Source organism: Homo sapiens, chromosome 3 (genome assembly GCF_000001405.40).
Source record: "Homo sapiens chromosome 3, GRCh38.p14 Primary Assembly".
Classification (NCBI taxonomy): domain Eukaryota; kingdom Metazoa; phylum Chordata; class Mammalia; order Primates; family Hominidae; genus Homo; species Homo sapiens.
This window is the reverse complement of record NC_000003.12, coordinates 67265538-67276989: the sequence shown is the minus strand read 5'-3', so window position 1 is coordinate 67276989 and position 11452 is coordinate 67265538.

Sequence of the window (11452 nt, the reverse complement as noted above, 5' to 3'; positions counted from 1 at the left end):
AGAAATTGAAATGTATGGATACTTTTTGCACTAAGATCTCAAAATACACTAGTCCCCCTTTGCCTGTGGAAGATGTCTTCCAAGACTCCCAGTGGATGCCCAAAACTAAATAGTACCAAACCTTATATAGACTATGTTTTTTCCTATATATAACTATGATAAAGTTTAATTTACAAATTAGATACAGTAAGAGATTAACAAAAACTAGGAATAAAATAGGACAGTTATAACAATACCCAGAACAGTGTGCCATTTAAAACTTATGAATTGTTTATCTCTGAAACTTTCCATTTAGTATTTTGAACCACAGTTGACCATGGGTAACTGAAACCATGGAAAGCTAAACCATGGATGAGGAGGGAACTACTGTAGTCATTTACCCTTTCCCAATGAGAGAAGTAGAAGCTAATGTAATGATCCCTACTTCATAGATGGAGAAGCTGAGAAATTGAGAAGCTAAGGTCAAAAATCAAAGTGGAAACTGAGGGTAAATAGAGGAAGTACTTAATATATACAGAAGAACACATAGGACACAGTTAGACATAAAATACTATAATAAAAAGGATACTGAAAACATGCTATCTGACTCAAGAACTAGAACAGTATTAAAACAATTCAATTTGCCTGAATATACTCTCAAGTTAACTGCACTCTTAAATTTTGTGTTTATTATTTTTGCAAAATAATATTACCCTATTTGCTTACATTTCTAAACAATACATTTTCTCATTTTGGTTGTTTTCAAGCTTTAAAAAACGGTGACATGTAATAAATGGTTCTGTGACTTAGTTTTTTTCACAAATACAACATGGCCATATCAGAAACAATACTTGGGGTCTGTTCTAGTCTGTTTTCGTACTGCTATAAAGAATTGCCTGAGACTGGGTCACTTATAAAGGAAAGAAGTTTAATTGACTCACAATTCTGCATGGATGGGGAGGCCTCAGGAAACTTACAATCATGGTGAAAGGTGAAGGGGAAGCAAGGCACCTTCTTCACAAGTTGCTACAAAGGAGAGGGGCCGAGAAAAGGGGAGAAGAGCCCTTACAAAACCATCAGATCTGAGAACTCACTCACTGTCATGAGAACAGCATGGGAGAAACTACCCCCATGATTCACTTACCTCCATCTGGTCTCTCCCTTGACACATTCGGATTATGGAGATTATAATTCAAGATGAGATTTGGGTGGGGACACAAAACCTAACCATATCAGGATCCAAAAAATTTAAGCACATAAAATGTGGGGTCACATTATTTCCAGACTAATAAAATGATAAGAGCAAGCCCGAAAAGCCAGTGGGCTAGAATTCTGGAAGTTCAGGTGCACCATTCAAATCCACCCTGGTCCTGGTTGCTCTGGTGGCAGTTGTCTGTTCCTATCAGTGGGGACAATTCTGAAGTCTGTTTCAACATTTGGATGACAGTCACCCAGCAGAGCTAACTGACCTGCACTGGTTTGTGATAAGAATATTTTAGGCCACAGAGATTTGGGGTGTTTTTTGAGTGTCTGGTTTGCATTATCCTGATCAATACAGCCCCTTTCTAGCCCAAATAACTTTTTTTCAGATTTTGCCTTATCTGTTTGTCTCTTGATCAGACTCACTAGAGATTTGTTGACTTTTCTAGTCTTTTCAAAGAACTGACTTTTGACTTAATGAATTATCTCTATTTAAACCTTATATTTTTTATTTTGCTTTAAAATTTTTTCTTCTATTTCCCTTGAGTCTATGTGGTTGTTGTTGGTTTTAGTTCTTTAACTAATTGCTTAGCTCATTAATTTTCAGCCTTTCTTTTTTTTTCTTATATATATATCTAGAGCCATAAATTTTTTTTTTATTATTATACTTAAAGTTTTAGGGTACATGTGCACAATGTGCAGGTTAGTTACATATGTATACATGTGCCATGCTGGTGTGCTGCACCCATTAACTCGTCATTTAGCATTAGGTATATCTCCTAATGCTATCCCTCCCCCCTCCCCCCACCCCACAACAGTCCCCAGAGTGTGATGTTCCCCTTCCTGTGTCCATGTGTTCTCACTGTTCAATTCTCACCGGTAAGTGAGAACATGCGGTGTTTGGTTTTTTGTTCTTGCGATAGTTTACTGGGAATGATGATTTCCAATTTCATCCATGCCCCTACAAAGGACATGAACTCATCCTTTTTTATGGCTGCATAGTATTCCATGGTGTATATGTGCCACATTTTCTTAATCCAGTCTATCATTATTGGACATTTGGGTTGGTTCCAAGTCTTTGCTATTGTGAATAGTGCTGCAATAAACATACGTGTGCATGTGTCTTTATAGCAGCACGATTTATAATCCTTTGGGTATATACCCAGTAATGGGATGGCTGGGTCAAATGGTATTTCTAGTTCTAGATCCCTGAGGAATCGTCACACTGACTTCCACAAGGGTTGAGGTAGTTTACAGTCCCACCAACAGTGTCAAAGTGTTCCTATTTCTCCACATCCTCTCCGGCACCTGTTGTTTCCTGACTTTTTAATGATTGCCATTCTAACTGGTGTGAGATGGTATCTCATTGTGGTTTTGATTTGCATTTCTCTGATGGCCAGTGATGATGAGCATTTTTTCATGTGTCTTTTGGCTGCATAAATGTTTGAAGCACTAGTTTTGGTCCATGTCACAAGTCTCGATTTGTAGTTATATCAGTTAGAATAGTATACACAAGCTGCAGTAATAAACATCTCCAAATTCTTGTTTGGTTAAAACAACTAAGGTTGTTTCTAACAAGTTCACAGTTGATGCAGATGATGTTGGTTCACGGACCACCCTTTGAAATACACAGCTTTAAATTCATCTTTCCTCCTTACTAAATGGTACCTTAAGCTTAGTAATAGCTATGAAATAAGCTATGTACCTTAATTTATGAAATAGATAAGTATCCTCTATCCTGGAAGTCACTTATTCCTTTTTGTTATCTGGTCAGACATCCTCTGAGGACTTATCTTGAAGGTATTAATCCTCCCTTCTGGGTAGGGAATTTGAGGCAGAAAGAAGTTTCCTACCAAGGCAGTAGCAGGTATTTAGCCCTGGATGCTGACCTGACATGGCCTTGTTCAATCATCCAAGCCACATGTAAAGGCATTTCACAGAGCTCATGGAGTGTGCCACTCCAGACCCCATCCTTTTCCCTGACCTGCCCACCTTGAAAGGCACCCAACAAATTGAAACTCTGTTGGGTAGGTTAAATCTTACTATATCTACCAAACCTGCATTCCACTTAGACGAGGGTCCTTCCTCATAAATCAACATCGGAGCACCCTATGAACCTATCCCACCACTGATTGGGTCAGAGGCAAACAGCCAAGTGGGAAATCTCCATGCAACAAGAATAATGAGGATTAACTGGACAGCTCAGGTTCTTATTCCCATGAAGCCAGAGGTATTATAGTTCCTGTTCTTTGCATGATACCAGATTATAAAGTTCTTCATGTACAAAAAGTTGAAATTTTAATTTTTGTGCACCTGTGGTGCCAGCTACTCTGGAGGCTGAGGTGGGAGGATCACCTGAGCCCAGGTGGTCAAGGATACAGTGAGCCATGATTGGACCACTGCTCTCCAGCGTGGGTGACAGAGACCTTCTCTCAAAAAAAAAAAAAAAAAAAGAAAGAGAGGGAGAGAGACACAGAGAGACTTTTTTCCAACTCTAGGCTCATAAGAACATAATTCTTGACTGTTCAAAAGGCAGTGGCCATACCAAGGATGAGAAGTAGGAATGGTCTGCCGCTGGGCAGAAATGAGCACTTTAAAATTGCCTGCAAGGTGATAATTAAAAAAAAAAAAAAAAACAGACTTGTGGGTTTTATTATTGTTTACACATTTTCTATAGGTAAGACACCATCTTATTATCTGTATCTGAGACTGAGTACTCTCACCAGCTACCGCCACTGTCAAAAGGACAGGCTTCTAGGGGTTGAGGGCAGGGGGTGATGAGCAAGAGTTGGGCTTTCCATAATTGGGATTAGAAGGGAGGGTGTATATCCCTCCATGCAGCACCTAGGGGAGGCAGCCCTATGACAGTGGTGGCATGTGCGTGTCTGGAGCGTGAGGACTATATGCTGTGACTTTGGGAGCCAAATCCTAAAGTGAGTGGATGCCATGAGCATATCTGAATGAATTTGGGGGAATTTAGTCAAGGAACATTCTAGCTGCTGTCCATTATGAATTATGAATATTGGAATCTCTTCCCCAACCTCACTGGACTTCCATAGGTTCCAAGGTTCTTGTTTATCCATTTCTCTGAAATGACTAAGATTAGATTTTTACCAATGTGGTAATGGGGGGTGGTGATATTAGATTTGATCTAATTTAGAAAAATTAGGGAATGTGATGTTTCCTGTGTTTGTGTGTCAAGAAGCAGTCATAGCTCTTATGCTATCTTGCTTATTTCCTTATTTGTTCTTCTAATAACTCCCATGGCTTGAGGAAACCTGAGTGATCCTTTATTCCTTGGAGATAAAAGGGGTCAGCCTGACTTGGAAACATATCTCAAAATGCATCTTCCCCCAAATAGCTGTTTGCTGTGTTCAAGTTAAAGGGAGAAATACCCCAGTTTCAGGTAGAAGTTAGAGTCTCGGGAAATTAATCACCAGCACCAATTTTTTCCTTCCAGTGGTATCTAGCAGGCCCCCTTTCGTGTTCACTGAGACATTCTGGGCAGTAATAAGCAGGAACCTGAGTGTCCTGAGGAGGAAGAGGAAAACTGTTTCTCTACAAATATAGGGCATCTTGTCCTCCCGTTCCTACTGAAGCTTATTCGGCAGGTCATCATTTTTCCATAGGCTGTCTGATCCCTCTGGACAGTATGCCACAGCCCTCCTTCAGTGACTGTTGATGTTGCCAGCCCAGCCTGTGTCCCTGCAAAGCAAGATCAGTGCCTCCCTGACCTTGAAGTCACCATCAGATTATTGTTGGGTTCTCAAATTCTTTAATAGTAGGCTTTCAGAAGCCCACATTGGCTCATGCCTGGGAATGAATTTTTCCCCCAATACAGAAGAAAATTCAGAGACTGTTAATGTTATTATCCTGAATGATACAGAGTTCATTTGGGGCTTTAATTAGAAAGATTTGAATTCTCACCCCATGATCAAATATTCTTTATCATCCAGAGAATTAGGACTTGGCCACAGCAACTATATCAATTCAGGGTCTCAGAAAAGGCTGAAAAGTAAAAGTAGTCTATTTTCTGAATTCACTCATCTTTTGAGGGCATTTTCTCTGGTCCCAGTGCTCCCTATTTCTTTTGGGGCAATAAGAGAACCCCACCCCACCTCCATTCTGGCCTTAATTTTTTTGAAACTCTTCCTTCCCTGAAAGATACATTAAAATTCATCTGAATTGATGTAATGCTGGGATAAATTTAAGATTAGGTTAGAATAGCTAGTATATTGATGTATTGCTGCAAAAAAATCAGCCCACAATTTGGTGGCTTAAAACAGCAATATTGATATATTATTACTTCCAGTTTCTATTGCTCAGTTCTTGCTTTAGTCCTTGCACAGTTGCGGTCCTATGTTGGCCAGGGCTACAGTCATTTGAAGGCTTGAGTGGGGTGGAAGGACCTACATCCTACATGACTCATTTACATGCCTGACAATGTGATGCTGGCTGTTGGTTGGAGCTACCATTCCTCTCTACTATGTCGCGTGAGAGTTCTCAATGCATGGCAGCTGGCTTTCCCAGTGTGAGTGACCCAAGACCAAGGTAGAAATTGTGATGCCTTTTATGTCCTAGCCTTGGAAATCACTGCCACTTTCCCTGTATTCTATTGGTAGAGACAAAAGTATGCCCAGGTTCAAAGGGAGAGAACATTGACCCTAATGCCTGATGGAGGAGTGTCAAGGTCACACTGTAAGAAGAGCATGTGGAATGGGATATGTATCATTGCAGCCATTTCTGGAAAACATAATCTGCCATAATGGCTAATAAAAAGTGCCATGAGTGTCCCAGGGGTAATTATTGAAAACGGGTTACTTAGGATTTTTAGGGTACAAAGTCTTATCACAAAGCCCGAAGAGATAATGTTGGAAATAGGGTAGTTGCTTGCGATGTAATGTAGGATAGCAACCAGAAACCATATATGAAAGATTCAGAAATGAGTGAGATTTAGAATCTGAGTTAGGAGATCTCACAAGTGTAAAAAAAAAAAAGGCAAAATATTAGGATTTACAATTTGAGAATGCTCCACTCTTCTCTCCTCCCCACATTTGCTTAAAATAAAATGTTCTCAGACACTTTTGGCTTAGGGAAGCTCTGACTTCAGAAGACAGGTTCTTGGGGCTTTGGGAATGCAGAGTTAAGAAAAAGGGGCTGGGAGAGTGGGGGGAGAGTGGAGAGTAAAATGGAAAGAATGGAGGGAAAGGTAAAGGATTTAGGCCTACAGTAGTAAGCTGATCTACTAGTGGCCTGAGATGAAGGAGGAGTTGGGAGTATAGTCTGACATTTGTTACAGAGCAGTTGGCTGTGAAGGTAGGTGAGGAAAGAGGATTTCAGGTGTTTGGACTGTGCATTTGATATGTTTTAGAGTTCTTGATGGATTTGGCCAAAGAAAGGGATTCCCTTTAGGTTAATTTTGCCCCCTGAACTGTACTTCTGTACTTTTGGAAAGGGATTCATCTCAAAAACAATCACTTGGGTGTTGGGGTTCAAGAGCTCAGAAATGAAAAGTGTCATTAACAGTGTGGTCTCTGAAGTCCCATAGATCTAGGTACAAATCCTGGCTTATCACAAACTAGCTTTGGGGCTTGGGACAAATTCTCTACATGCCTACGTCCAGTCAAATGAGGTAGTATGTTTCTAAGTCTTCTCTATTAAAATGTTTTCTCCAGCATTTTAAATACTAGACCTTGTGCAGTAGATTCAGCCCCAAATCATATGACTTCCTACAGTTTGGCATACAGGCAAAATCAGGGCTTTGAAACACAGTCTCTGAGACAGAATAATAAGAAGAGCCACTTAAAATAGAGATTATCCAGCAAATCCAGGGCAAAGGACTCTTCGTTGAAGACAATTAAAGTTTTTCAGCCTTTGCTGAAACTGGGGCATGCTACCTGGCTCTTCAGCTTCTATGTGGCATAACATTCGCATCAGGGAGGAAAAAAAGTTGTAAAATAATTAAGAAAAATCGTGCTAAAATCTTAATTCTTTCAAAAACACCCAAACTCTAATATGTTCTGATTAGATTTTAACTTTTCTTCCAGGCTATTTAAAGTGAAAGTGAAGGTGGAAACTGAGACCAAATATCCACTTTCCCCTCAAACTTACAGTTTTATTCTGGAAACATGTTCAGACTTTTTTTTTTTTCATTGGAAGCTTAGATGGTGTTTTCCCTCTCTGGTATAAAAAGGAAGAGTTTCAATATGACTCACATGTAATTTGAAATTATTTTGTAAAGATTTTACTTTTTTTTCTATCCTTTTTTCTAAGCTGTAGGATTATACTGGTTATAATCTAGGGTCTTATGTTGCTGAAGGTAATAATGACAGTAACTGAATATGAAAAACCTGTAATATTCTGAAGCCTTCATCTGCCCTGAAATTGGTTATTTCTTCCTTCCTTTTTTCCTTTCCTCTCCTCCTCTTTCTCTGAGCATCATCTACATGGTTACATCTCTGCCATTTTTTGAGCCAGTCGCAAGGCCCAGAACTTTTCACATATTCTCTCATTTAATTTTTATGACAACTCTCTAAGTCTCATTTTATTATCTCTAGCTTAGATGTGGAAAAATATGAACCAATATTGACACATTATTAAATGGAATTCATAGTTTGTGTTAAGGTTCGGCGTTGTACGTTCTATGGATTTTGACAAATGCATAATGTCGTGTATCCACCATTACAGTATCATTTAGAAGAGTTTTCTGACCTAATAAATAGTTTCTGTGTTCTACCTATTCATCCTTGCCCCCACCTCTCTGAGCCCCTGGCAACTGCTTCTATTTTCACTGTCAAATTGTTTTGCCTTTTCCAGAATGTCACATGGTTAGAATCATACAGTACAATCTGCAGGGTAAGTTGGCTGGCTGGAGATCCAGGGAAGGGCTGATGCTGCAGTTTGACTTTGAAGGCAGTCTCCTGGCAAAATTCCTTCTTCATCAGGGAACCTCAGTCTTTTTCTATTAAGGCCTTCAGCTGATTGGAGGAGATCCACCCACATTATAAAGGGTAATCTGCTTTACTCAAAGTCTACTGATTTAAATGTTAATCTCAGCTAAAAAAAAATACATTCACAGAAACATTTTGAATAATGTTTATCCAAATACCGGGGTCCCATGACCTAGCCAAGTTGACACATTAACCATCATACTTAGCGTGTGAATTTAAAGTCTCCTCAATGTTTGTTTGTGACTTCATAGCTCATTTCTTTTTACAGCTGAATAATACTCCATCGTATGGATGTACCACAGTTGTTGATGAACATCTTGGTTGCCTCCAGTTTTTGGCAATTATGAATAAAGCCGCTATAAACATTCATGTGCGGGTTTTTGTGTGGACATAATGCTGGATGATGTGGTAAGACTACGTGTATCTTTGTAAGAAACTGCCAGTTCTGGAGTGGCTGTACCATGTTGTATTTCCACTAGCAATGAATGAAGGTTCCTATTGTTCCATATCTTCAGCAGCATTTGCTATTGTCAATATTTTTTAGCCGTTCTGATAGATGTGTAGTGATATTTCACTGTTGCTTTAACTTGCAATTCTCTAATGACATTTGATGTTCATCATCTTTTTCTATGCTTATTTGCCAATTGTATGTCTTATTTGGTGAGACATCTATTCAGATCTTTTGGCCATTATTTGAGTTTTGTTTTTCTATTGTTGAGTTTTATGAGTTCTTTGTATATTGTAGATGCAAGTTCTTTATCAGATATGTGTACTGCAAATATTTTATCCATCTGTGGGCTTGTCTTTTCTTTTTCCTAAGTTTTATTGCTTTTTAAAAAGACAGTCTTTTTGTAATCCCAGCACTTTGAGAGGCCAAGGTGGGCAGATCACCTAAGGTCAGGAATTCGAGACAAGCCTGGCCAACAGGGTGAAACCCTGTCTCTACTAAAAATACAAAAATTAGCTGGGTGGTGGCAGACGCCTGTAATCCCAGCTACTTGGGAGGCTGAGGCAGGAGAATTGCTTGAACCCAGGAGGTGGAGGTTGCAGTGAGCCAAGACCATGCCATTGCACTCCAGCCTGGGTGACAGAGCAAGACTCCATCTCAGTAAATAAATAAATAAATAAATAAATAAATAAATAAATAGACAGTCTTTCTAAATTATCAAAATTTTGAAATTTCCCATTTCTGCAACTTTATCAAATGTTGCCAGTTGAAGGAAACAAAACAACACCAAACTCTTCAATAAGGGAAATAAATTGTTTCCATTGTTCATATTTACATAAACTGTTATTGAGTTTCCAAACACGTGCATCTCTCCTCCACTGGCATTCACTCTACTTTAACCAGAATATCCACAGTATGGGACCACATGCCACAGTTATGCAAATACATGAGAAATTTGATGACTGCTAATAAAAGTAGTCATTGGGATTGTTCCTTATCTTCTCTAGACAAATGCAATGTGCTCCCCTTCTCGGTGATTCTCAGGTCTTTTAAGATTAGGCAGGTTTATGACACTCTTCCTACTCATTGTGTATTCACTCCACTGAACTGGGTGGATTGTCTTTGAGAATTCTTTTTCAGTGTTTACACTTCCACTCATCCCTTTGTATTCAGCCTAGTCTAGATTATGCTGCAGTGACAGTCCAAAAGTCTTGGATCAAAACCTCCACATTGCACTTCATGTCCATCAAAGGTATTCTCAGCAATCCAATCTGATGGAGGCTGGACCATCTGGAACATTGCTACTGGCTTGCTAGAGACAGGAAAACAGGAATGTGAGGATGGCCCAGTGGGTCCTAAATTTCTCAGCCCAGAACTGACACATGTTTCTTAGGTCCTATCAAGTCTCATGACCAAATCAAATTTAAAAGGGGCAAGGAAAGACAATCCCAACATGTACTTAAAGGAAGAGACAAGATATATCAGTGAATAGCCCTAGTAACAACCACAACCTTACATCTGGGGAATCCTGAGACATCCAGGCTATGATTGATAATTACCATGTAAGAGCTCCTAAGGGGTCCTGTGTGGGACTTTTCAATTTTTGAGGAATTGGTAATAACCTTTACCTGAGATCAAAACACACCCTGTTACTCTCACATTCAGCCAAATGACTCTCACCTATTATGGGATTTGCTGAGAAATGCCAGTTTAATGGAACTACACTTGAATATATCCTTTCTTCTCTTTGGGGAGTGGGGATAGGGTGAGATGGGACTCATTTTGTTTCCGTTCCTGGGGGGGTGGACGTGGATGAGAAAATCACTTTAGAAAGCTTAGTGGTTTTACTCCTATTCAACATAGTGTTGGAAGTTCTGGCCAGGGCAGTTAGGCGGGAGAAGGAAATAAAGGGTATTCAATTAGGAAAAGAGGAAGTCAAATTGTCCCTGTTTGCAGATGACATGATTGTATATCTAGAAAACCCCATTGTCTCAGCCCAAAATCTCCTTAAGCTGATAAGCAACTTCAGCAAAGTCTCAGGATACAAAATCAATGTGCAAAAATCACAAGCATTCTTATACATCAATAACAGACAAACAGAGAGCCAAATCATGAGTGAACTCCCATTCACAATTGCTTCAAAGGGAATAACATACCTAGGAATCCAACTTACAAGGGACATGAAGGACCTCTTCAAGGAGAACTACAAACCACTGCTCAATGAAATAAAAGAGGATACAAAGAAATGGAAGAACATTCCATGCTCATGGGTAGGAAGAATCAATATTGTGATAATGGCCATACTGCCCAAGGTAATTTATAGATTCAATGCCATCCCCATCAAGCTACCAATGACTTTCTTCACAGAATTGGAAAAAACTACTTTAAAGTTCATATGGAATCAAAAAAGAGCCCTCATCACCAAGTCAATCTTAAGCCAAAAGAACAAAGCTGGAGGCATCACACTACCTGACTTCAAACTATACTACAAGGCTACAGAAACCAAAACAGCATGGTACTGGTACCAAAACAGAGATGTAGGTCAATGGAACAGAACATAGCCCTCAGAAATAACACCACATATCTACAACTATCTGATCTTTGACAAACCTGAGAAAAACAGGCAATGGGGAAAGGATTCCCTATTTAATAAATGGTGCTGGGAAAACTGGCTAGCCATATGTAGAAAGCTGAAACTGGATCCCTTCCTTACACCTTATACAAAAATTAATTCAAGATGGATTAAAGACTTAAACATTAGACCTAAAACCATAAAAACCCTAGAAAAAAACCTAGGCATTACCATTCAGGACATAGGCATGGGCAAGGACTTCATGTCTAAAACACCAAAAGCACTGGCAACAAAAGCCAAAAT